The 27,933-nt window shown below is 43.1% G+C and overlaps 1 protein-coding gene across 4 annotated transcripts in view; it reads left to right on the top strand.

Moving 5' to 3' along the window:
* Positions 1 to 26,733, top strand: part of CSNK1G1 (casein kinase 1 gamma 1) — a 190,649-nt gene extending 163,916 nt beyond the window's left edge. For 2 of the 4 annotated variants that reach the window (NM_001329606.2, NM_022048.5), the window contains exons 11-12: positions 11,804 to 11,910; positions 20,273 to 26,733. In NM_001329606.2, coding sequence (NP_001316535.1) covers positions 11,804 to 11,910; positions 20,273 to 20,327 — 162 coding nt within the window. In that variant the 3' untranslated portion in view covers positions 20,328 to 26,733. Of the gene's footprint in view, positions 1 to 3,772; positions 3,884 to 11,803; positions 11,911 to 20,272 lie in introns of all 4 variants that reach the window. The other 2 variants (NM_001329605.2, NM_001329607.2) reach the window with 2 other exon arrangements.

Raw genomic sequence — 27,933 nt, 5'->3', positions numbered from 1 at the left:
GTAATGCAGAGAAATTGACTTTGCTGAATGACTTTTCTACTCATGCACCTCTTGAGTGACATTTAATTAGATGTGTATGCATGAGTGATCTTTAAGAATGAAGGATTTACATGCTGATCTCTTCCACTAGTTTGCTTAATCTAACTAGCTACTGTGCTGATGAGGCCTAATCATAACTCCTGTGTACACAGTATTGCCTAGAATACCTTTCTTGGAGAGTTACACTAGCAGACTGCTGTAGTTGTCAGCTTTCTTTGGTTTCATCTATTTCCTAGGCATTCTGTTGCTTTCTAAAACTGCAAATGGCCCTTTCTACTATGTTATCCTCTAGATACCGGTCCAAGCTCTTAAATTCCAGAAAACAGTAGCCCTAGAATTTAACATCTTACCGAAAACTTGCTTCCAAAGTAATAAACCCGCAACCCCTAGGTTCACATCTGTACTTAGTTTTGATGTTTTCAACAGATACAGAAGGCATTGGCGGGCAGTAGTATGGTATAGTGTGTTTTTCCTTCATCATAGTGGAAGCATTTATGAAGCAATCTAGAGTGTTAACATTAGTTTTCTATTTATCTTTAAAAGATAAATAGCATATTGCTTTGAGAATGGAGATGGAATGTGATTTTTAGGCCTTTGAAAAATGTCTTGGTATTTTCATTTAAACAAAAATCTTAAATCTTTCAACAAATTATTTATTGAACTAGAATGAATATAAAGAACCACATAGCCCTGTGAATCAGACAATAGCATAAAACCAGAGTTCTTATGTGTAGTCAGTAAAAATGGAAATAATTGTTGATCAGCTGTCCAGGGTTTTCTTAACTTTAAAAGCCCATGAGTATACATGAACATACATTTCCAGCCATTTTCTATTTTATCTGCCTCAAAAACAAATGCAGGCTGGGTGCCGTGGCTCACACCTATAATCTTAGCACTTTGGGAGGCCGAGGCGGGCAGATCATGAGGTCAGGAAATCGAGACCATCCTAGCTAACACAGGGAAACCGCGTCTCTACTAAAAATATAAAAAAATTAGCAACCTGGTGGCGCGCGTCCGTAGTCCCAGCTACTCGGGAGGCTGAGGCAGGAGAATGACGTGAACTCGGGAGGCGGAGCTTGCAGTGAGCCGAGATCGTGCCACTGCACTCCAGCCTGGGTGACAGAGCAAGACTCCATCTCAAAAACACAAAACAAAACAAAAAAACAAATGCAAAAACAGAGAGCATTCATGAGATGTAATTGCATTTAGTATGTATTATAGAACTCAACATTAAATGGCTTACCATTGTCTGGATTTTTTTAAGCACTTAAGTTTTTAGAAACCTGACAGTACTGTATAATAGTTTAAGAGCTTAAATATTATATTTCAATATTACAAAAAATAAAAAGTTCTAGAGAACTGAAAAAGTCTATCACTGATAGGTTTAGTTATAGATATTACTTCTAATATTACAAGAATAGGTTTATTCTCAGATCTCCAGCAGTCAGAATAAATGAGACTAAGTGCTCTGAGGATATAGACAATGTCAGTAAGTTTATAAAATATGGCCGGCACGGTGGCTCACGCCTGTAATTCCAGCACTTTGGGAGGCCGAGGCGGGTGGATCACCTGAGGTCGGGAGTTCAAGACCAGCCTGACCAACCTGGAGAAACCCTGTCTCTACCAAAAATACAAAATTAGCCAGGCATGGTGGCACATGCCTGTAATCCCAGCTACTTGGGAGGCTGAGGCAGGAGAATCGCTTGAACCTGAGAGGCGGAGGTTGTGGTGAGCGGAGATCGCGCCATTGCACTTTAGCCTGGGCAACAAGAGTGAAACTCTATCTCAACCAAAAAAATAAAAATAAGTTTATGATTATGTTGTACACCAGTCTTATTTTGGAAAATGAAACATTTGAACCTCTTTTGGCAGAAATAATTGTAGTAGGGGAATATTTTGGGTAGCTTTGATTCTCTCTAACATAACTAGCAGCATAAAATCAAACCCCTCATTTATAAGGTAATAGAGCAAGTCCATACAGCTGCCTTCTCATAGAATATGTTTATTCTCTGAGGAAGAGCAGAGAAAATATGAACAGGATCCTTTATAATACTCTTGTCCATATGACTTCGTATTCCATTAATAAAAAGGAGTAAATTGGCCAGGCGTGGTGGCTCACGCCTGTAATCCCAGCACTTTGGGAGGCTGAGGCAGGCGGATCACGAGGTCAGGAGATCGAGACCATCCTGGCTAACACGGTGAAACCCTGTCTCTACTGAAAATACAAAAAAAATTAGCCGGGCATGGTGCTGCGCGCCTGTAGTCCCAACTACTCAGGAGGCTGAGGCAGAAGAGTGGCGTGAACCTGGGAGGCGGAGCTTGCAGTGAGCCGAGAATGCGCCACTGCACTCCAGCCTGGGCGACAGAGCGAGACTCCGTCTCAAAAAAAAAAAAAAAAAAAAAGTAAATTGTAGCTGGTGTACAAAGCTCTGATTTTTACGAGAAATGCCTTTTTGGTGACTTACGGGTGAGCTTTAAGCAACTCTTGTCAATGAGATACTGAAATATGGGGAGTGAATATAGACCCTCAAACCATTACTTCCTTGCCCTTCGTTTTTTATAGAATACAACTTTTATAGCTGTGAACATTTGTAAGATTTATAGTCCTTTCTGGTTTTCATGCAGAGCAGCAATATCACATCCTAACCCCTGCAGCTGTTTATATCAGCAGCAATTAAAATTTGATTTACTAATCCCTCATTGCTGCCTCTCCAACTACTCATTTTTCATTTTTGTAGAGCCTTAGGACTGTTACAGCTGAGCATTATGATGTTAACAACTCAGCCATCTGGCACAGGGGAAGAGGCACCTAAACAGATTCTTCTGGACAAAAGTCACATATGAGCAAGATCAGAATAGTAGCAGATGTAAAAAGCAGGTAAAGAAGGAGAGCCTGAATGATACTAAGGTGAAAGCAGAATCCAAAGAGGTTTTTAGTTGAAGGTCGACCCTCCTTTTGCTTTCCAGAAGAAAATAATTCATAGTATCATATTAATAAGTAAACTTTTTCTAATTCAGTCTAGACGCTGTTAGCTAGAAGAACCAGGCAAACGATGTAGCTATTTTTTTTGTTATTATTATTATTATTTTTTCGAGATGGAGTCTTGCTCTGTCGCGCAGGCTGGAGTGCAGTGGCGCGATCTTGGCTCACTGCAACCTCCACCTCCTGGGTTTAAGCAATTCTCCTGCTTCAGCCTCCCGAGTAGCTGGGATCACAGGTGTGCGCCACCATGCCCAGCTCATTTTTGTAATTTTAGTAGAGACAGGCTTTCACCATGTTGGTCAGGCTGGTCTCGAACTCCAGACCTCGTGATCCGCCCACCTTGGCCTCCCAAAGTGCTGAGATTATAGGCGTATGCCACCACTCCGAACAATCTTAACATTCTGAGTTTGATCTGCTTAGTGGCTACTGAAATTTTACCTCTATGGAAACTAAAAGATGATCCCAGCTTTGACTGTGTGTTTTTTCCCCCTCCCTCCTCTTTTGGTCGTTATTGGTTTTCTGGTTCTGGGTAAGGAGGGTGTGATATAGATTCATGTATTGACTCATTAAGGCTAAAATGAATGTAGACAAGCTTACTTTTCCTCACTGCTTTCCAGTGGTTGTTAGTTTAAAATCCAAAACCGAAAGAAAAACCTACAGGGACACGAATGTACTTGATTTTGTTATTGCTTGCTGTTGCTTCACCTTTCCTTCCATATCTTGCTCTCATGCTTTCTAACGCCTAAGCAGAATGTATCATCAGAGCGCCGAGGAGAGTGGGAAATTCAGCCCAGCCGGCAGACCAATACCTCATACCTAACGTCTCACTTGGCTGCAGACCGCCATGGGGGATCAGTGCAGGTATTTACTGCCTTTATTGCCTTTTCCTGGCCTTTCCAGCTTGGCTGGTGGAATGTTGGCTTGCTTCTGAACCTTCGGCAGCCTTAGAAAGGAAGCTTACAGGAAGGGCTAATTGAATATCTCTGTAGATTTTCTGTCTAGGTGGACTTGGGTAAGAGTCGCTTGTTAAAATGATTACTTCCTGTTGTCATTGACTAAGAAACATCTATATGATTTCTGATACTGATTTCTGGTTAACCTAGTCCTACCACCTTGATGCATTCATGATAAACCATAAAAATAACATCAAGGTAGGATTGTGTTAGTGTCAAGTCTGTGAATTGTAAAGACCTGAAACTTACAAGTATTTTTTGAATAGAGGACTAAAGGACTGCATATGTTGCTCATTCCATGATATGTGCCTTAACGCATAAGCTGAGAATGTTAATTTGTATAAGTCATCTGTTTCTGAGTGGGTACCCAGGAAGTTGGGCTGTTTCCTTTTTTCTCCCTGGAATCAATGTGATCTTAAGAAAATTATTTCTGATTTCATTTGGGCTATTCTGAATCTCTTTTTTCTGTTTAGTACTAGAACATCTGGTATCTCTTAACTTGTCTTACATGTGAATGTTTTTAATAATCTTAGCCTCAATATTGTTCTCATACTGGTAAGTGACACCATCAGTTGGGACACACAGTGAACTCAGAGCTGTCAAACATAAATTCTTATAAAGGTGCAGACAGGTTTGTACATGTAGAAATGCATCTTGGTAGCCTTGATCATCTAGGATATGCTGTTACAAGGAGTGATTCATGGAAAGATCTTAATCACAGCTTGAAAGACAGTTTTGGCCCTATAGAAAACCACATAGGATCATATAGGTTAAAATGATGGATTGAGGCTGGGCGTGGTAGCTCCTGTAATCACAGCACTTTGGGAGGCCAAAGCAGGTGGATCACTTGAAGTCAGGAGTTCAAGACTAGCCTGGCCAACATGGTGAAACCCCATCTGTACTATAAATACAAAAAAAAAAAAATTAGCCAGGCCCGGTGGCGCATACCTGTAATCCTAGCTACTCAGGAGGCTGAGGTGGGAGGATTGCCTGAATCTGGGAGGCAGAAGTTGCAGTGAGCCGAGATCATGCCACTGCATACTCTAGCCTGGGTGACAGAATGAGGCTCCATCCCCCCCAAAAAAAACCATGATGGATTGGACAAGACTGAGCAACAAAGGGAGAGCTCATCTCTACAGAAAGTTAAAAAATTAGCTAGGATGGCCAGGCGTGGTGGCTCGCACCTATAATCCCAGCACTTTGGGAGCCCAAGGTGGGCAGATCACAAGGTCAAGTGATTGAGACCATCCTGGCCAACATGGTGAAACCCCGTCTCTACTAAAAATACAAAAATTAGCTGGGCATGGTGGCGCATGCCTATAGTTCCAGCTACTCAGGAGGCTGAGGCAGGAGAACGCTTGAACCTGGGAGGCAGAGGTTGCAGTGAGCCGAGATCACGCCATTGCACTCCAGCCTGGGTGATGGACTGAGATTCCGTCTCAAAAAAAAAGAGAAAAAAATCATTGCTCTTAGGAGCCAGGCACAGTGGCTAACACCGATAATTCCAGCATTTTGAGAAGCCTAGGCAGGAGGATCACTTGAGGCCAGGAGTTCTTGACCATCCTGGCAATATAGCAAGATATTGTCTCTACACAAAACAGAAAAATTGGCTAGGTGTGGTGCTATGTGCCTATAGTCCTGGCTGCCAGGAAGGCTTAGGCGGGAGGATCGCTTGAGCCCAGGAGTTTGAGGCTGCAGTGAGCCATGATCGTACCACTGCATTTCAGCCTGGGTGACAGAGCAAGACCCTGTCTCTTTAAAACAAAACAAAACAAAACAAAACAAAAAACTCAATTTTATTTCTCAGGCACACTTTCTTGTGAAGCCACATGAGGATGTGTGTTATCAGAATTAATAGAACAAGAGAGTAGCAGCTGTGTGCAATAGCTCATGCCTGTAATCCCAGCACTTTGGGAGGCCGAGGTGAGCAGATCACAAGGTCAGGAGTTCAAGACCAGCCTGGCCACTATGGTGAAACTCCATCTCTACTAAAAAGTAATTTTAAAAAATTAGCTGGGCGTGGTGGTGGGTACCTGTAGTCCCAGCTACTTGGGAGGCTGAGGCAGGAGAATCACTTAAACTCGGGAGGCAGAAGTTGCAGTGAGCTGAGATTGCGCCCCTGCACTCCAGCCTGGGCGACACAACAAGACTCTATCTCAAAAAAAATAAAAAGAAAGGAATATCTGGGATCCAGGAAACCAGAGATCCAGCACAGGAAAGAAACAAAGGGAATCCCTAATATAATAATAAAGTTAGGAGATCCTGGGATCTGTACACCAATAGAAGAGAGCAGCTTGTTCAAAACAGAGCTGCAAGAGCAGCTCTTTGGTATTTTCCTTTTTAACATTATGGTTTATCCTTGTCTTTTTATAATTACAAAATAAGCATATTTCTTTTTCTCTCTTTTTTTTTTTTTTTTTCGAGATGGAGTCTGGCTCTGTCATCCAGGCTGGAGTGCAGTAGCGCGATCTTGGCTTACTGCAACTGCTGTTTCCCGGGTTCAAGCGATTCTCCTGTCAGCCTCTAGAGCAGCTGGGATTACAGGCACGTGCCACCACACCCAGCTAATTTTTGGATATTTAGTAGAGATGGGTTTTTGCCATGTCATCCAGGCTGGTCTCAAACTCCTGACCTCAAGTGATCCACCTGCCTTGGCCTCGCAAAGTCCTGGGATTACAGATGTGAGCCACCGTGCCTGGCCTCGTAAAGTGTCCTTTAGAAATGGATCCAACTGAGGTGTCTTTGGCAACTCTTTTGAAACATGCAACTTCCTCTACTCCCTATAAACTAAGTTTTACCAGCTTCCTTGGCACTTAGATAGAGGACAGGCAGTTACACCATTTACCTAATACTATGTTCAGCTCTGCTGCTCCTCATTACTTTGGCCTCTTTGGGCTGACACTGTTTTTAGCATACCTTTTGCAAACCAGATTAACAATACTTTCCTAACACAACAGATGTCCACATATTTCTGAGTTGTCTCACTTGCCAGAGGTAATGTAGTAAAATCATGTTTGGCCTAACCTGGGTGACTTGCAGACACCATGACCCTGGGAGGGAGTGCAGAATCTAAGACAAGAAAAGTTTGCTCTGATAAGGCACATGAAGGCTCCTGTTCCAACATATTTAATGGGCAGACCCCCATGGTTCTCATCCTTCCAGTATTTCCACAGATCTTTTATGTGTGGAAGGCCTAAATGCAAGAAGATAATATATTTTCCCTTTCAAAAAGATTCCTCTAAAGTTGTCTGAATTAAAATGTTTAGGGAGCTTTTAGAAATGTTCAGGACCAAGTAAGGACATAAGACTTAGAATGACACATGAGTTGAAGTACTGTTTCCTTTGGTACACAGCTCTGATTTCTCCTCACAGTGACATTTTGAGAAATGAAACTAATAACCCAAATTATTGAGACTCCTAAAAGGGATATTACCAGGTCTGAACGTCAAAACAGTCCTTCATCTTAGTCTTTCTCATGAGTAATGCTTTAAGATATTAATTGGTCTTGTTTGGTATAGCCAGAGTAATGAGCGATTAATTTTAATAGTGATTAAAGCAAAATAAATGTCTATTTGAAGTATGCAAATCTTTTTTTTTTTTTTTTTTGAGACAGAGTTTCGCATTGTTGTCCAGGCTGGGGTGCAGTGGCATGATCTTGGCTCACTACAACGTCCGCCTCCCAGGTTCAAGCAATTCTTGTGCCTCAGCCTCCTGAGTAGCTGGGATTACAGGCGCCCGCCACCACGCCCAGCTGATTTTTTGTATTTTAATAGAGACGGGGTTTCACCATGTTGTCCAGGCTGGTCTCGAACTGCTGAGCTCAGGCAATCCACCTGTCTCGGCCTCCCAAAGTGCTAGGATTACAGGCACGAGCCACCGTGCCTGGCCGCAAATAAAGCTTTTTATAATGAAGCTTATTTTTTATTATCTTTTATAATGACATTATACTAAAAATTTATTTATTTATTTATTTATTTTTTGAGACGAAGTCTCGCTCTGTCACCCAGGCTGGAGTGCAGTGGCATGATCTCTGCTCACTGCAAGCTACGCCTCCCAGGTTCACACCATTCTCCTGCCTCAGCCTCCCGAGTAGCTGGGACTACAGACGTGTGCCACCATGCCCGGCTAATTTTTTGTATTTTTAGTAGAGACGGAGTTTCACCGTGTTAGTCAGGATGGTCTTAATCTCCTGACCTCGTGATCCGCCCACCTCGGCCTCCCAAAATGCTGGGATTACAGGCGTGAGCCACTGCACCCGGCCATAAAGTTATACTAAAAATTTAATAGAAAAAAAATACCAGCCAGATCACTTGGGGTCAGGAGTTCAAGACCAGCCTGGCCAATATGGTGAAACCCCATTTCTACTAAAAAATACAAAAATTAGCCAGATGTGGTGGTGCATACCTGTAGTCCCAGCTACTCGGGAGGCTGAGGCAGGAGAATCGCTTGAACTCGGGAGGTAGAGGTTGCAGTGAGCCAAGATCACGCCACTGCACTGCAGCCTGGGCAACAGAGCGAGATTCCATCTCCAAAAAAAAAAAAAAGAAAAACATAAAGATAATATTGTTTAAAATGTCAGTAATTTGTTATTCATAAGATTCTTTTTAATTCTTTAAAATTTATTTTCTAAACATCATTGTATTTAATTCCCTTCATATTTATGAAGTTGATAGGATCATGGTCATTTGCCTTGTCTTATGGAATTAGAAAATAGGGCTCACAGAGGATGTTAATGGTAGAACAAGGCCTAGAATCCAACTCTTCCATCACTTACACAGTGTTTGTTCCACTGCCTGCAGTTCAGTAGTTTGACAAACCAGACCTCCAACCTGAAATAATTAAACGGATGCTGTGAAGGCCCAGATGTGTAGCCTTTAAGTCTTAGGTATGTTTTTGGTACAATTAAGTTTAAAAGTAGAGAATGGAGGCTCTGTTTATGTCTCATTCATTTGAGACCACATGCTCATTGATACAGACAAGATGTCTAGTCTGTAAAATGGGGATAACCTCTTATTCCTTAGATTGCCCAAGGACAGTGCTTATGGCCCAAGTGGCAATTTGTAGCGAGGAGAATTTAGGAAGTATAAGCCATGTGAAACGCTGTGAGCAGGCCCCATGACCCAGAGTCACCAGGTAATTCTCAGTGGTGATGCTTACTAATGTTTCATTCGTGTGAGTAGAAGCCAAGACATTTTATTTAACGTCTTGTCTAGTTCCTGAATTGTCCACTAGAAACTTACTATGTTTCCTGTAACCTTTGTGCTCACAGAATGAGTTTACCAGTATTATCACTGGTATGCAGCCAGAATATGTCCACAAGAAGCAAATGAAGCACTGAGGAAATTAACAGGATAGCATTAGAGTGAGGAGCTGTGGTTTTCCAATCCATATACCCTCCTTCCTCAACTTTTTGGTTTTGCTGGTTTTTCTTCAACTTTTTGTATTGAAAATTTCAACTCTACAGAGAAATCGGGAGGGAAATGCAATAAACTCTTGTATATCTTTAACCTTGCTGAACGAATTATTAAGATTTTGCCATATTTGCTTTAAATCTATGAGTGAAAGTGTGTGTGTGTGTTTGCTTGCTAAACCATATGAAAGTAAGTTGCAGACATCATTATATCTTATCCCAAAGTACTTCAGCCTGTATCTTCTAAGAACGAAGACATTCTAAGAAAGTTAATTTCATAATATCTAATATATAGTTCATGTCACATTCCACCTAATTCCAGTTGTCCCCAGAATTAATATTGTAGTGTCCAGGATTTAATCAAGGTTCATGCCTCACATTAACCAATGCAATATGCCTCATCAGTCTTTTACAATGTCTTAGTCTCTTTTAATCCGTTTTAATCTTTAAGTCTCCCTGTGTTTAAACAAATAAAAGTCTTCTATAAAGATTCAGCTGGAGGCCGGGCACAGTGGCTCGTGCCTGTAATCCCAGCACTTCGGGAAGCCAAGGCAGGTGGACAACCTGAGGTCAGGAGTTCGAGACTAGCCTGGCCAACATGGTGAAACCCCATCTCTACTAAAAACAAAACAAAACAAACAAACAGCCAGGTGTGGTGGCACATACCTGTAATCTCAGCTACTCAGGAGACTGAGGCAGGAGAACCGCTTGAACCTGGGAGGTAGAGGTTGCAGTGAGCCGAGATCATGCCACTGCACTCCAGCCTGGGCAACAGAGCAAGACTCTCTCTCTCAAAAAAAAAAAAAAAAAAAAAAAAAACGGGTTACTAATGAGAACAATAATTATTTCTTGTTTAGAAATAATAGCGGATATAGCTTGCTAGTAAGTAGTATTCACCCTATCTGTCCCAAAGGCTACGTGTACTATATATTTCCTCCCACCCTCCTCTTTATGACTATTCAGGAAATTTTTGTGGATTAACTGCTGGTGAGGACCCCTGAGCTAGAGGCAGATAAGAATAAACAGTTACGGAGAGAGAATAACAGTAAGATGACCACTTATTGAGCTGTTACCATGTCTCATGCCACTGGGCTAAGCACTTTCTGTGGGTTGTCTGCACAGTAAACACCATTAGGTAAGCAGCATTGTTCTCCCATTTTAGAGATTAGGAAGCTTAGGCATAGACTGAGGATCTTGCCCAAAGACCCACAGCAAATAACTGGTGGAGCTGGGGTTCAAACTTAGGGCTGATTAGGGCAATTTCTACACTATGCTGCTTCCCTTATTTATGCTAGGTATTATACTAGACAGTCTCATACATTTTCTTGTATAATTCTCTCATCAACCTATAAGAAACAATCTCAAATAGATGGAAGTACTTATCCAAGGGCATATGATATCCAAATTGTTTATCCTATTTTGTGTTCTCTCCCATGTTTCAGCCAAGGTCTTTAACAAGCAGAGTGTTTTGTCCAGCAGTGAGGCCCCTTTTCCCACTTCCCAGCACCCACATAAACAGGAATAATGTGCTGGAAATGAAACCAGGTGGCAGAAGCAGCTACACATGCAAGAGAAGCCTGATTGGGTCCACATTAACCAGATGACAGGAGTGAGAGCCTTCACTTACATTTCGGGGACCATCAGTGAGAACTGGGATGGCAGTGAACCTGAAATAAAGATCGTTGAAATAAGACTGGCTTTCCAAGGGAGAGTGTTTTTTTACCATCTTCCCTCTTGTCGGAGAGGATGTGACAATCTTGTTATTTGTAACTTCGAACCAGTGCTCAAAGCCATGAGGAAATTTCTGAAGGAAAGTGTGATTATTTATAGTTTCTGGTACCCACTGTTGACTTCCTTTTTAGAACTTTTTCTTTCAACATCAGCACTAAGTCTATATCATTATAGCATAATAAACTGAGAGAACTAGACTTCACCCATCACATTCAAGGGAGCCAAGTGATTTTACCTTTAGAAGTCAGCCATGCAGTTATTTTTAACTTAACAAAGTAATGTGTGTGTTTTTGCAATATGAAAGAATCTGTGTTTAGAACAAATTTTCCTCATGGAAATTCACAGATATTAACTCTAAACCTTGGTTAAGTCATTTGTTAGTGTTTCCATCTGTAAAAAAACCTATTTCATAAGATTTTTGTAAGGATTAGATTTACACACACAATGTAGCAGAGTGTCAGACACGGAGTAGGCACTCAGTATGTAAGTTATTATCATCATTATATGATTACATCATTGATATTAGTGTTCTCGCATGATATGGGCCTGGGAACCTTCCCTAAATTGATCCCTTAACCCAGGAAAACAAACATTCCAGACACTGCCTGTTTAGCGACCCTGTCTGGCGCTGGCAAGAGATTTCTGTTGCCATGGTGCCTGTCACACACTTCTGTCTTTCTGTTTCAGGTGGTTAGCTCAACCAATGGAGAGCTGAATGTTGATGATCCCACGGGAGCCCACTCCAATGCACCAATCACAGCTCATGCCGAGGTGGAGGTAGTGGAGGAAGCTAAGTACGTACATCTTTCAAGGGGGCTCTTAAGTCATGGGTTGAAAAATCTTTTCTGTCTCTTCCTCTCTGTGTGCTGCTCGTCTCAGACTGGATTTCTCATGCTTGTAACCACAGCTTTCTTCCTTAACTGTTTTAATTTTTGCATGGTACCTTAAGGCTGCTACTGCCCTTCTTTAGCTGTGATTTCGGGGAAGACAGTCACATTTTTCTAGTTCACATGAAAAAGACATAGTGAACCGAAAGAATCATGTTATCAGGGCTACAGTGGATAGTAGCCATGAGCTTCTTGGGGCTGTGGAGCTTCTTGCTCTATATGGGATATAGAGAAAAATCTGCTGTTAAACCATGGGCCATGCTGAATAGCATTCGATTTCTGATTGTGGGCTAGCAACTGGATGTACAATCATGGAACAAGGAGTTCAGGGCCATTTTGTTCACTCTCAAATGATTCTGGCTTCAGAGAGACTAAGTCAGGCAAGAAAAATATTATAGTCTGCATCTGTGAATGAGAGTGTGGGAAAAGAATGGAAGTCATACTCATCTCAGGAGGGTAAGGAGGTTGCCCCACACCCTTTTCTGCTTCTCTTGCATGTGTATGTCTTGCCCCACCCATACCACCAGCCCCTTGGTGCGCTGCATGGTCTGTGTTTAAACTCTTAAAATCTGGGGTGGAAGGTGAGATAACTGCCAATTCTGCTGCAAAAGCAGCATTTCTACCACTTTTTTCCCCATCCCAAATTTAGATCCAGATTTAGACTTCAAGAAGATACCAGGTAGGGAGAGATAGAGACACCATGAGTCAGTAACTGCTGCTATCCCTGATATGGAGGACCTTTCTTGTGAGCCCTTTGAGAACCTTCAGGATATCCCAGGGTCTTGTTTTCTGAAGCAGACAACGTATTTATAGTGATATTGTACCTAAGTAGTCTCATGAGCCCCCAGGTAGCTTAATACAAGCCAGAACACTCTTATACCTCTAAATGTAAGTTAGTGAGATGCCACTGAGACCTGCATTCTTCCACCTTCCAGATGTACTTTGTATTGTTGTCTTTCCTGCCTATTCCCCTGGTCTCCTGCCCATCTTTTTTATTTATTTATTTTTTGAGACAGGGTCTCTCTCTGTTGCCAAAGCTGGAGTGCAGTGGCACGATCATGGCTAACTGCAGCCTCTATTCCCCAAGCTCAAGTGATCCTCCTGCCTCAGTCTCCCAAAGTCATGAAATTACAGGCATGAACCACTGTGCCCAGCCCTGCCAGTCTATTTGATGAACTCATTTTACCTTCAAGAAGTCCTTTCTAGCCAGGTGTGGTGCTTCATGCCTGTAATCTTAGCACTTTGGGAGGCTGAGGCAGGAGGATCACTTGAGTCTAGAGGTTTGAGACCAGCCTGGGCAACATAATGAGACCCCAACTCTATAAAAAAATTAAAAATTAGCTGGGCATGGTGGTATGCACCTGTAGTCCTAGGTACTTGGAAGGTTCAGGCTGCAGTGAGCTATGGTCATGTCACTGTACTCCAATCTGGGTGATAGGTGCGACCCTGTCACACACACACACACAAAAGTTTTTGGCCAGGTGCAGTGGCTCACACGTGTAATCCCAGCACTTTGGGAAGCTGAGGCAGGAGGATCACAAGGTCAAGAGATTGAGACCATCCTGGCCAACATGGTGAAACCCCGTCTCTACTAAAAATATAAAAATTAGCTGGGTGTGGTGGCATGCGTCTGTAGTCCCAGCTACTCAGGAGGCTGAGGCAGGAGAATCGCTTGAACCCAGGAGGCAGGGGTTGTGGTGAGTCGAGATTGTGCCACCGCACTCCATCCTGGCGACAGAGCGAGACTCCATCTCAAAAAAAAAAAAAAAAAAGAAAATTTTTGCTTGGAAAACCAGGGCTTGAGGATTCCTACCCAATACATCAAAAGTAAATGAGGATGACTTGACTGTCTTTTGTTGAGCCCCTGCTAACTGTAGGCAGCTTCAGAGCTCTTCTCCCAGCTTGTATAAGGCACTGATATATAAGGGGGTGAGGGTTATGCTGGTTATGCCAGGAAAAGGCCATTTTAATAAGGAAACATGCTCCTATTCTCAGGGACTTTGGAGATATTAATGGTACTCACAGTTTTTCGATTTCCATACAAAATTACATTATCTTAAATAAACAATATGTTACTCCCACCCTCTGGGCTCTCAACTGGCTGCACTTTGGAGTCATTTGGGGCATGGTAGAAAATACAAATGTCTGAGTCTGGCCTCAGGCATTCTGATTTAATTTATTGAAATGTGGCCCGAGCATCAGGAATTTTAAAAGTTCAGGTCATTCTAACATGTAGCCAATGTTGAGAACCACTGTACCAAGCGTGGTCTGATTCAAACATTGTCAGAGCTTGAAGGATGGCCGTACCTGTTCCCAGCTCCCACCCCATTCTCAATTCACCTTTGTGGCTATTACTTTGAAGGCTAGAAGTTTAGCTTTGGATTTAATAGTATACTTTGAATGCAGTAATCAAATGGGCTTTAGTTTTATGTTATGCCCTATACAGGTTTATCTTTTGAACCCATTCATCTCATCTCATTTTGGTAAATGTGTATACTAATTGTGTATGTGAGTGTGGTATTTGTGTTCTGTGTGTAAGATATGGGCTCATTCACACAGAGATTTCAATCTGGTGTATTCTGTATTGGTATAATCTAACCTCTAGAATGTAAGGAGAGTTTAAAGTCTTGTCATTTAGCAAAAAGGACAAATGTGCCTCTTTGCCACCAGCTTCAGGTTTGGACCTTCTAAAAGATGTAGAAAGCATAGGGGAGAAATTATATTTGACCAGATGTCATCCCGAAGCTCATGGCTTAGGGCATTTAGTGATTTCATGGGCTATCAATCCATCTTGCCCAGAGAACTGTCAGGGCCCAGCCATGTGTTATTTTTCTTGGCCTTTGCGTGTGGGGGCAAGGAAAGGGTAGCCCTGTGTCCACCTGGTTGATCATTTTCATGGGAAGAAGTCACAGCTAGAGAAGCACGAGGTGTTCCAAACAGCCCCTCATTGCACGCAGCTGTGATGCCATTTGTTCATGCAGCCTGCTTGTGGGGTAGAAGGGGATGATGCTTATATTGAGACACACCTCAGTACTGGGGAGACCATGTGAAACCTTCACTTTCAGGCTTTTGATTTTGGGTTCCTCACCCAGCTTGTTTAGTGTAAAGGTGGAAAGAAATAACAGGGTCTTAGGTTTTGTTCTGTGTACAAAACGAACATGTGAATTCCCTTTTTCTCTAGCTCCAGGACATATGTCCTTGTTTATGGTTTAAAGGGTGGTGAGGGCAGGCAGCTTTTTGGTTGATTTTTGTTACAGTAAGAATACAGGAATTTTTGGTTATCCAGACTTTAGCTATAATTTAACAAATGTGAACCTCATTTCTCCTGAGCATTAACAAGAGTAGAATTTAGGTCCTTCTCTGGTAGTTATACCTTAATACAGAGCAGTGACCCTCCTTCCTCTGATTCATCTTCTAATAAGATAAAGTAAGTGTCGCTTAAACCTTTTCTCCCTCTCTAGAGGAAGAGCTAACTGCTAGCTGCTTTGATCAGGCATGTTGGACTTGCACAAAGGCTAGGGACTTTCTTTTTCCCTCAGAATATTTGAGAGGCTAGCTTAATATTGCACAGTAAGACTTCATATGGGAACCAAAATGGTTCACCCCTGGTGCTTGATTGAGTTCTTACAGGCAGGGTCATTTGCTCTTTCCCCTGCTGCCTTCCTAGAAGTTGCCCAGGAAAGCCCACCCTGGAGCTCCTACCAACTCTTTCTGTTTTGCCTTACCCCTGAGATCCAGCTCCCACCTTGATGCTTCTGTCAGGCTCCTGTCCGAACCCTCCACTTTAACGTGGGGACCAAGTGGCCTGGGCCTACTCAGCCTACCTTGACAGAAGAAGAAACTAAACACAGACACATACTGCATGTTTGCATGGCTCACAGGGAGTCGCTTCCATTTCACCTCTGTGGACTAATATCTCTCTCTTTCTCTCTCTTCCTTTCTGTGTTTTTCTCTTTATATACTCTGTAGCTGCCTGAAAATGCTCAACCTGTGGTGAGTCCCTCTCTCCAGTCCATTGCAAGGGGAGTGGACCAGACTAGGCTGGGACTGGCAAAGCCAAACAAAATGCCTTAGGAACATTAAATAGCTTCCATAGGACTCCTTGTGCCATAACCACCCTGACTGGGGATCTAGATCCATAAGGTGGGGATGGGGCAGGCCTGTACCCAGGAATTAATCTATTCCTTCTTTCAAACCCATCTTATCGCTGTCTCCTCCTGCCATAACAGTATCCCACAGTATCCAAAATTATCTATTTTTAGCTGAGTAAATTTTCTCCCAAATTAATACAACCAGATATGGAGAGGGACAGAAGTAAAAGGGCAAGATTACTGTATCAGTTTTTATGTAGCAGTTGTGTTTACTCACAGCCGCAAGGATAGTGAGTTGTTGCTGGATAATCTCACATTCTGCAATGTGGTCTCTAACCTGGAAATTGGCTGCTTTGGGAAAATCTGACTTTTTGATTCAGCTGGCTCTTCCCTCTGTAGAGTAGCAACCTCAAAAAAGGGGGAGCTCCTTCAGGGAGAGGTGGATGTTTTGTTGTTGTTGTTTTGAGAGTTGTTTTGTTTTTGTTTATTGTCTTTTTCTTTATTCCTATGTGAGAGTTTAGTAGGCCAAGGACTGACTCAGCTAATTGATATATTGGAGCCTGTCTTTTCCACTCCTGGAAAAGGTTCCTGGAATGTATTTTTAGGAATAACATGGAGTTTATGGAAGGAGAAGCCCTCAAGAATCCATGTGTGGTGAGGAACATTCTTGCTACAAGACATAGCCCCTTCCCCTGCTCTCTTGCCTGTGACCTTCCAGGTACTCCTGAACTTGTTGGTCTGTTGCAGTCTGGAATTTTAACTCTCCCACATTGTCCGCACGCATAAAGTCATGCTCTATATGGAGGTAACAGCCTGCTAGTTTCATGACTGCCATGTTTCTATTTGTCTTCAGTGACTGGGTTGGGCACTGGTTTCTGAACCCTAACTATCTAAGCCAGATTGCCTACAGGGGCTTCCTCAGGGACAGGAATGTATTAAAGAAAACAACTGGGTTTTGTGGAGGTCAGATTTATAGTCTTAGGGGATCAAAGAATACCTTTGGCTATTTGTTTTGCAAACATGTGTCTGTGTAATCCGACATTGTGGTGGTCTATTTTTTCCTGTGAGGTGTCAGTCACATGATCCTTACTGCAGATACTTGAGGGCCTGCTATATGCTTATCCAACCCTGTGCTTGGAACTCTAGTGGGGTGGGGGGTGGGGTTACAAAATTTGCCCCAAAGAGCTTGGGTACCATCTAGCTGAAGAGATCAGACATACACATGAAAGGATAAGGAGTTCTGCAGGACATTGAGATTACTGCCCTTGAGAGGCTGAGGGGCCAAGAGGTCACCATGGACAGGATGGTCAAAGAAGTCCTTGTAAACACTGTAGGACTTGAGTTAAGTATTAGAAGAAAGGAAGAATGTACACATATGGCAGAGAAAAGGAACATAGCAAGGGAATAGCTGAAGAGAGAGGGCCAGGACATAGTAAGAATGCCATATGGAAAAGGTAGTGGGTCAGAGGCCTGGGGTAAGAGCACTAGATGGCTTTGAGAGTAGGGAGATTTGGATCGATTTTGACTCCAGCATGTTGAGAACTTCTTGTCATCTAAACAGTCAAAGAATCAACTGAAAGGAAACCTAAGCCATGAGGTGTCCACCACCTGCCTTCATTCTCTTCTGAGAGGAACACATCTGAAAGTCAATCAGTGGACTTGGTCTAGAGTCTGACCCAGTTTAATAGATCCTGTTGCTAGTAGTCACCACAGACACCAAAGAGTTGAAGAACAGATTGTGGGGCCTGCTTTCTTGTAGGTAGAATCATTAAAAGCCTTTGCCACTGCTGAAGCTTTAACTACAATAACTAGCAAAGATAAATCCAGGGCTCTAAATTTGAAATATTCCAACTCCTTTGAACCATAACTCACACTTCCTTTTAGTTAGGTGGGTTCAGCATTGCACATCCAGTTATGATATGCTTGTAAGCAGGCATTAATTCTTATGGCTTGCCTTGGAGGAGGTAAAAGAGAAGTCATTGTACAATTTGAAATGGACCTAAACAGTATTGTAAACTTTTTTTATTGCTTTCTTAAAAACACAAAATCATCATCTTAGCATCCTCCAAAAAGATTAAGAATAGAAGTTGACTTAAAAGTTAGTAATACCTGTGAAAATCATGATTCAGAAGAAAAGAGGTAAGTCTATTGAAATAGAGATTTAATTTGCCTCTTTTATTGTTAATTTCAGGACATTCAACTTGGAAAATGTCCATTTCTAAAGCATTACGTATAGAAAAACACTATTTGGGCCAGGCATAGTGGCTTACACCTGTAATCCCAGCACTTTGGGAGGCCGAGGCAGGTGGATCATTTGAGGTCAGGAGTTCCAGACCAGCCCGGCCAACATGGTGAAACCCCGTCTCTACTAAAAATACAAAAATTAGCCGGGTGTGCTGGTGGGCACCAGCTACTCAGGAGGCTGAGGCAGGAGAATCACTTGAGCCCTGTAGGTGGAGGTTGCAGTGAGCAGAGATGGCGCCATTGCACTCCAGCCTGAGCGACAGAGTGAGACTCAGTCTCAAAAAAAAAAAAAAAAAAAAAGAAAAGAAAAGAAAGAAAAACACCAAAAAACACCATTTGTTCTTGAATTCTTATCCAGGGTTTCCACTGAGGATTATTTTTAACAATCAAAAATGTTGGTCACTTTTATTTAAAAGAATTTAGTTTCCAAATACATATGACACTTTGCTTAGTGATTATATTTGCACCCATTAATAGTACCTCACAAATGTCATTGATACTTTCAGAGAAAATCTTTCCAAAGACCCTCTTAAGAAAGTCCTATTTCTAAAATTTTCATGTTTGATTCATTCAGATATGATTAAAGCCCATCATGGTCTGTGTAAATGTTTCTGCATTCTTAGAAACTTTCTCCAGTTTTTTATAACTAGTCCATTGGATGTAGGAATGCCAAAGAGTCTAACTAAAAAGAGAGGGAATCTTGGCTACAATGGAATACCTAGGGGTATGGGAAGTAAGTAATAGTCTTTATTTCCATATGAATATTGCTGGCTTTACACCTGCAATAATTAGGCAAGAGACTCAAAGATAGTTTTTTCAGAAAAGTTTTCTTTCAAGGATCTAGCAAGTCTGAGCTATGCTTCCAACTTTACTGCCCTCCATCATCCGGCATCTTTGACTCATCCACCACCTTCTGTCCCTTTCATTCTCATTCCCCATGTGTCAGCTCCCCAGAAAGGACATATCTTGTACACCTTGCCACAGCACTCATCACCTGCTTCTGGACTGCCTGAGCAAGAGTGATACTTCCTGTTCTAAAGACAGGAGTGAGGATGGGGGATACTCAGACTTTGGGATGTGCCAGAACTGTGGCTAGTCCCCAGGAAGCAGAACTTGGAGGACTCATAAAGGAGCCAATCCCACCTCCATCCTAAACAAGGCCAGTTCATAAACCCCATCTGGCACAGCAGCAGTCTCAGGAAGCTAAATTGGGGAGTGCCCTGTATCTCACTCCCTAAACTGGGGAGTGAGAGCATCCTGATGGTCAGCTCTTGGGCTGTGACAGTGGTCCCCTGCAAATGAAAAGGGGAGCTGTACTGATGTCAGGAGATGTGGCTCACCGTCATTATTAGAGTCAGGGCCTCTCCTGCCTACTTCGGTGGGTGAGGACAGAGAGGGGGATGGAGAGAATCCTTAATCCTTCATTGGTAACATCCTGAGATCCTCCTAGAGTTCCAGACATCATACTTATCATGGGATTTGTTTGCCTTATTTTAGCCTCCCTGCCCTCTGGCCAGTGAGTTGAATTAAATAATTGTGCCCTCAGTATCAAGGAGTAGACAATGTAGACTATTTTTATGCAGCCCTGAGGACCCCCAGTCATGACTCTTGATAAGGTGAGGCATCTGGGTTGGGTGCTAAACTATGAGCCTTCTTCACCCTCCTTCCAGTAATGCCTATTTCAGCCCTGCCTAGCCTGCACCATCTTGATAATTAGGTAGGATGACTGCAGATTGAAATCAAGCAGCTATTTCCTTTGGCTTTTCTGGCAGACACTGCCCACTGCCTCCAGTGCGTGCACTGTAGATGGTGGGTGGTCCCTATGGGTGGGTGCTAGGGGGAAAATTCCACCCCTGCAGTAAGCAGAAGCAGGCAGAAGTCTGCTGGAAGCTGCAGGCCTCCCGCACTGACTTGCAATGTTCCTTGTGCTCCAGGTGCTGCTGTTTCTTTAAGAGGAAAAGGAAGAAGACTGCTCAGCGCCACAAGTGACCAGTGCCTCCCAGGAGTCCTCAGGCCCTGGGGACTCTGACTCAATTGTACCTGCAGCTCCTGCCATTTCTCATTGGAAGGGACTCCTCTTTGGGGGAGGGTGGATATCCAAACCAAAAAGAAGAAAACAGATGCCCCCAGAAGGGGCCAGTGCGGGCAGCCAGGGCCTAGTGGGTCATTGGCCATCTCCGCCTGCCTAAGGCTCTGAGCAGGTCCCAGAGCTGCTGTTCCTCCACTGCTTGCCCATAGGGCTGCCTGGTTGACTCTCCTTCCCATTGTTTACAGTGAAGGTGTCATTCACAAAAACTCAAGGACTGCTATTCTCCTTCTTCCCCTTAGTTTACTCCTGGTTTTTACCCCACCCTCAACCCTCTCCAGCATAAAACCTAGTGAGCTAAAGGCTTTGTCTGCAGAAGGAGATCAAGAGGCTGGGGGTAAGGCCAAGAAGGTAGGAGGAAAATGGCAGACCTGGGCTGGAGAAGAACCTTCTCCGTATCCCAGGTGTGCCTGGCAGTATGGTTTCCTCTTCCTCTGTGCCTGTGCAGCATTCATCCCAGCTGGCCTTGGGGTTCAGGTTCCTTCTTCCCTCCCTCCTGTGAAGTTACACTGTAGGACACAAGCTGTGAGCAATCTGCAGTCTACTGTCCCTGTGTGTTGGCGTTCTTAGCTTTTTTGACAAACTCTTTTCTCCAGGTAGTAGGACAATGAAAATTGTTCTAAGCAAAGGAAAGAAAACTGACTTTGTTGCACTTTTAGTTTTTTTAAAAAAAACAAAAACAAAAACATGGCAGATGCATATTGTGTCTGGTTATATTGGGGGTTTTACTTTTACCTGTTTTGAGGGGGATGGGGCCGGCCAAGCCATTCAGAGAGAACATGGGTCCAGAGGACATTCTCAGTGGAAAGAGTTTGATCTGCAGCACCCAGAAGAGAAGCCAAACTCGGTGTCATTCTGAGTGAACACTCAGGTTGGCAAGAAAACATACTTGAATTTTCATTCATCTTCTCAGCAGCTGAAGAATGTCCCTACCAGAGCATCTTGACCTAATCAGCTTACAGTTTGAAAACCTAGCTCTCCAGAACATGAGATGAGCCAGCCGAGCCAGACTGTGACCAGGAAACAGCTCATCCCAGAGAAGGAGATGCTTAACAAAAAAAAATTGAAATTGTTTCCCATGCTGCCAGGGACTTCCAACTAGATAGCCATGTGACGTCCTGGTGACTTGGGGGAAAAATTAGTGATGAAACAGCCACCACCATATTGCCATTAGTGGAAAAAAAGAGGACAGTGAACCTGCCTTCCACCTGCCAGAGGGACCTCAGGGTGTGGCATTATAGGGCCAGGAAAAGAAAATCGGTGTATCCTATCTGCCCCAATAGCTGAGCTGTAGCATTTGGGCTGGCCTGCCTTATCAGAAACCAAGCTTATGAAGATCTTCTCCCAGCAGGTCCATAGCAGTAGGCTTAGGATGCAGTATATGGGGCCGCATTTAAAAGGAGGGAAAGATTGTTTGGTGCTGGAACATTCCAGGGAAAAGGAGACTGGAATGAAAGGTCTGAAATTATCTTCTCAATTGGACTCCTTCCAGAAAGGTGGCCGTGCCTCTAAGCATGTTTTTCCCAGTATGCCCTAGGCCTCCCCCCATGGTGTTTTCATATGAGGTACTACTGTGAAGGATCTGGTTCCTCATTCACTGTTTGACAAGTCTTTCATGTGTGGAGTTACTCTTCTCATGCCCAATTTTCATTTGAGTTTAGTGGCTTAACCAAACAATGACTCCTCATTCCAGCGGTGACAGAAGAGAAAGGGTCATTTACATCAGGAAAGAGGTCTTGTATCTGGGAGTAGAGAGCTAACCATGGAGCACAGTGGCTGGTGGGTGACTTAGTCTGATGGTTTGTGGACCATAGAAGTCTTCACCTCTGGTTTGAGGTGCAGGGCTGTCTTTTGTACTGGAGGGTGTGGGGATATTTTCTGATAGTTGCCATTTCTTGAAAAATTCCCTTGATGTACCTTACACAGAGCAGAAATAACATTAACATGGATCAGAGGTACTGGGCTTCATCTGTTCCATTGGACCTTGGCTAGGGAATATCATTTCACTGGCATCAAACCTGCTTAGCTTATGAAAAGATGGTAATATGTCATTTCTATAAATGTTTCTATATATGAAACATAAAGTGGCAGGGAGATACAATATCACACCCCTTCCCCACAAGGACTGTGAATATTGGGATTTATGTCCTTGCCATTACCTAGTGGTTACAGCCCTATCACTAAAATTTACATCGTTTCTCAGTTGGGATTTGGGCATTGCTAACTTACTGTATAGAAAGTTTAACTTTTCCTCACCCCTGTATAGAAAATGCCTTGCCTCTCAAGAGAGGGCAGAGGGGGGGCCAGGTGCAGTGGCTCACGCCTGTAATCCCAGCAGTTTGGGAGGCCAAGGCAAGTGGATCATGTGAGGTCAAGAGTTCGAGACCAGCCTGGCCAACATGGTGAAACCCCGTCTCTACAAAAAATACAAAAATTAGCTGGGCATGGTGGCATGCTCCCGTAGTCCCAGCTACTCGGGAGGCTGAGGCAGGAGAATCACTTGAGCCTGGGAGGCAGAAGTTGCAGTGAGCCGAGATCGCACCACTGCACTCCAGCCTGGGCAACAGAGTGAGACTCTGTCTAAAAAGAAAAAAAAAAAAGGGCAGAGGGAAATGGTGGGAATGCCTGGAGCATCCTGGCACTCTATACTCTACTGAGTGCCTCTCTTCAGCCCCTCACCCTGCTTCCACACACACACACACAAAAGCAAAGGCACTGACCAGCTTGGCTGCAGGGCAAGCTGCCTTGCAGCTGGATTTGCGACTTTTTTTTTGTCTTAAAATTTTTACTGGATCAGTTGTAGGGGACTGTACTTCCTAAGACACTGTTCTCACCTTCCAACCTCACAAATCTCTTACTAGATATTTGGTTTTTATAACAAGGGTAAAGAATCCCAGGTCCCTTTAGCATGCAGAGTAATGGTGATCCCTCCAGAGCCATTGGCACTTCAAAGTGGTCCCAGACCTGGGAGATTCTGGTGGGATCTTCCTTAAAAATAAGCAAAAAACCTGAGTACCCTAGATGCAATTGGCCATTTGTTTCAGGCCCATCAGCGAATCAGGGCTCCCTCCTCAACCCTACTGCTACAGTTCCTTAGCTGTATGCCTCAGCCAGATCCTTGGGGTTAGGGCATGCACTCGCTGACTGTCCCCACCCATCCACTTGCTCTGTAGTTTCTGAGCTTTCTCCATTTCACAAGTATGGTGCCTAACGATCTTTTTCTTTAGGATTGATGCAGTTGTTTTTCCTGAAAGCTAACTCAGCATCTATTCATAAAAACCCTTAATAGTATACATTAGGAGTTTTCCCAAGCTCTACAGTCCCTCAGACATTGCATCCTAAACAGATTTGAGGCACACAGGCCAAGACTCCACCAAGGCATAAATGGTCCCCCCTACTCCCTTTTGACCAGGGTATCACTTGTGTCTCTGCAGTAAGAGTTGGTCAAGTTGCTCTACGCACCTTGGTGCTTTCCAGAGATCTCACTCCAGACTGCCCCCAAGGGTGGATAGAGTATCCTGACAGCCAGTGTGCACTCATGACTGCCTTAATTAACATTCTTCTGCTATTATGGAGCCTGTCCAGCAATAAACAGGGTCTAGGAAGGTACAAGATTAGCTTCCAGTTAAAATCCCATTTTATATTGGAATGCATGAGCTACAGATGACAGCAGAGATCCTGAGGTTTCTAGACATGTTGATTGTCTCTTTTTTCTAAATGAACTCCAAGTACTTAGAAAACAGTCCCTGTCCATCAGCCAGAAAAGGTGACCATCACCCCTAAAGTAATTTCCAAACTTAGTTCAGTGGGAAGATATGCTGGTAGTGCATATTCAGTGTTGATTTTCAGTGCTAGTAACCACTTTTAATGCCAGAAATATGTAACAATGATAATGTAACGTCAAAGTGGTTACTAAAGATTATAGCCTTAACTTTTTTATGTAAAAGATAAAATCCATTCCTCCTCCCAGTGAGCAAGCATGGCTTGCATTTCTCAAAAATGAGAACTTCCATGGCAGCCAAGAAAACGTCTTCTCAGAGGAACTTTCGTTTGATGCATCTCCCAAGCCCACATGCCTCCTGTGTTCCAGCCACCTCTTCCATTTCACATTTAAACCAGCTCTCCATTCCCATTGAGTTGCCCTAACAACATTGTCTCCAGTGTCAGAACCATATTAAGGTTCGTTTCTCAGATTGGGAGCCTGCAACACCATACAGCCAACATTGCCTTTGCCACGCCACTGCCACCATCCCCACCATTGCCCTATGGTGGGCAGATGAATTCCAGAAACCCTCAGGGAGCCAGGATAATTAGGCAACCCATCTGAATTGGCCACGTAAGTGACAGGCACTTATCTCTCGGGTTCTTGCTTTTGCAGACTCCAGGGAAGTCCTGTCTAGAGGTCGATGGCAGAGACTCCTAGTCTTTCCCATGAGGGGTTGATAGGAATCAAATTGGGATTCCTTTGGCTTTGGGTTTTGTTTTTTTGTTGTTGTTTTTGGTTTTCAGTTTGTTTTTTGGTGTATGGGGGGTGATTTTGTTTCTGAATAAGAAAAAGAAGAGGCAACCATGGCCCTTATGTGGGTTTATCCTTTTTGAGCAATGTTTTAGCCACAAGTAAGGAATCTTGAAAGTCTTTTGTCCAGCAAGCAGTCTTAAAAATGTTTTTCCTAACTCCTTTTGCAGGTGACTAAGTACAAAAAAATAGTTTTCTCATTGTATTCAAAATAGTGAGTAGGTTCCCTGGATAATACACAGTGGTAGTTGACATATTTTCTCAAAACACAACCAGAAAACCCACTTCCGGTATTTGTAAATCACCTTTCAAGGGAAAAAGTGAACACGTATTCCTTGTATTTCTAGTTTGATTACCAAACCTGATGTTACAAAGAAACCTCCGTTCTGTAGACAGAATTTCTTTTATTTTTCTTCTTTTACTCCTCACAATCACTTTCCCAGTGCCATCACCATCTATAAGGTCTCAGAGCAGAGGATTATTCATGGTAATAAGTGGGGGTGTGGTGCAGCCATTCCAGTAACACCCACAAGAGGACAGCTGTTCTGAATGTCCCCACCCACCCCTCTTTCAGTACAGGTGAGACATTTTCAGTTCATGAGCTCCAGACCAAATCCCAGGCCAGCCCTTGCACCAAAAGCCTTTTTTAGAAGGCTTATCAGTCTATTAGGAATGTCTCAGGAAAGATGAGCCATTTCTTTGGGGAGAAATATATTTACAGATGGAAGTGTGTGACTGCGTGTCTGTGTGTGTGTGTGGTGTGTGTGCGCACGTGAGTGCGTGTGTTCATCTATGTGCATTTCACTTCCATAAAGACCCAGCCCAAGCTGCTGGGAACCATGTGTTCCTGAGTATTCTCAGAGGTTAAACAAGTGACAAGTGAGCTTCTGAAATTAGTGTCTCAGCAAGCTGGCTTTAGGAATGAGCCCCATTTTATCAAGCAGAGAAAAAAAATAACAGCAGAAAAGATAAAGATAAACCAAAAATATATACCCCCCAATGGAAAATAATGTTGATTCAGCAATTCCCATAGGATGTATTACATGCTCTAATTTATTATATTATTATTTATCTGTCTTTGATCTTTGCCCATTGTACTCTTAAAAAGATGTTGGGATGTTGATTGCGATTTTTAAACAACTAGATAATGTATAAATCAGCAGTGGAAATCAGTTTTAATGTGTGGATGTGTCTGATTATTGTTAAATGCCTCTTTTTTTACTTTTTTTTTTTTTAGATGTATAATGTTTCATAAACCCTGGCACTGGTCACAAAGCTCAGCTGTGAAAATGAAATTTGTAGTATTTTTAAACATGAATGTCAATTTCAAGTGTATTTGAAATGGTTCCTCCAGGAGAGATATTTGTGCACCATTAGGAAAATCTTCTCTGCAGAGGAAGTAGCCTTCTTTGGAGAAAATGGAAAATGGGTTCTGATATGTGATCTCAGAGTAGCCCATTTCCTAGGGCACCATGGAAAACACAAATGTGATCTTTAAGTATACCTCTTCCCCAGTTTGGGGAGGAAAGGACTCAGTTTGCACCCTTTTTGTATGTAAAATAAAATGTCTTACCTTTCTTGGCTACTTCTGCTTGTTTGGTTGGTTGATTGGTTTGTCTGTTTTTAATCTCCCTCGGCTCATTTGTAATTAACAATCTAGCTAGGACTAACTTTGATGCGATTCAAGACTCCTGTGAACAAAAATAATTTGGCATTCTTGTTTCATTCCTTGGATTAAATATTGTCTTCTCCTGTGAGTCACTTCAAAAATAAATACTGCTGTCTCTCTTCGAGTGCTGAAGAAGAAAATTATTTTTTAATTAAAAAAATAAATATTGGCCAGGCGCAGTGGCTCTCACCTGTAATCCCAGCAACTCCGGGAGGCCAAGGCGGGTGGATCATTTGAGGTCAGGAGTTCGAGGCCAGCCTGGCCAACATGGTGAAACCCTGTCACTACTAAAAATACAAAATTAGTTGGGCGTGGTGGTGCACACCTGTAATCCCAGCTACTCAGGAGGCTGAGGCAGGCCAATTGCTTGAATCCAGGAGGTGGAGTTTGCAATGAGCCAAGATCGCACCACTGTACTCCAGCATGGACGTCAGAGCAAGACTCCGTCTCAAATAAATAAATATTCCTGGAAGAATTTGGACATTATCACTCATACGTTAGTTCCTGGGTCCCTGTTGTTCTCAGGTGGTAGAACACAGGAAATCAGGATCTGCTCTGTGGAACAACTTTAGTAGCTTTATAATTCTCCTCTACAAATGCGGAATATGTGTCCAGACAGAAGATAGAACTATGATGAGCAATGTAAAACCATACTGCATATGTAGCCAACAGAACAACTGTCAATCTGGGCATGATTGACTCCTTCCAGTTTGTTACTACTCTTTAATTACTTTTTCACAGGCAGGTAGCAGTGGAAGAATCATGAGAGAAAAGTTTCACATTGAGAGCATTTTATCCATCAACCTGATTTCTTTTGAAAGTGGGAGTGGGAGAAAGGCTGCTGTGATGCCATTTTAGCCTTAGCTCCTCATGTGCAGGAGGCTACTTGGGTTTTTTGAGTGTTTCTTTGTTTTTGAGACAGGGTGGAGTGCAGTTTCACGATCACAGTACACTGCAGCCTTGACCTTCTGGGCTCAGGTGATTCCCCCACCTCAGCCTCTGGGGTAGCTGCGACTACAGATGCGCACCACCACGCCCTGCTAATTTTTGTATTTTTTGTAGAGACAGGTTTCACCATGTTGCCCAGGCTCAAACTCCTGGACTCAAGTCATCTGCCTGCCACAGCCTCTCAAAGTGCTGGGATTACAGGTATGAGCTACTGTGCCCAGCTGGAGGCTACTTTGAAAACATGATTTAGTAAACATTTTTCTCTGGCTATGGCAGCCTGAGACCAGTGAGTGAAGAAAGAGGCTTAACAAAATAGGAGAAAAAAAAAAAAAAGGGATGAGAGATGGATCTGGAAGATCATCTTTGTCAGTATAAC

This window comes from Homo sapiens, chromosome 15 (assembly GCF_000001405.40).
Source record: "Homo sapiens chromosome 15, GRCh38.p14 Primary Assembly".
Taxonomy (NCBI): domain Eukaryota; kingdom Metazoa; phylum Chordata; class Mammalia; order Primates; family Hominidae; genus Homo; species Homo sapiens.
This window is presented reverse-complemented; position numbering and strand designations above follow the sequence as displayed.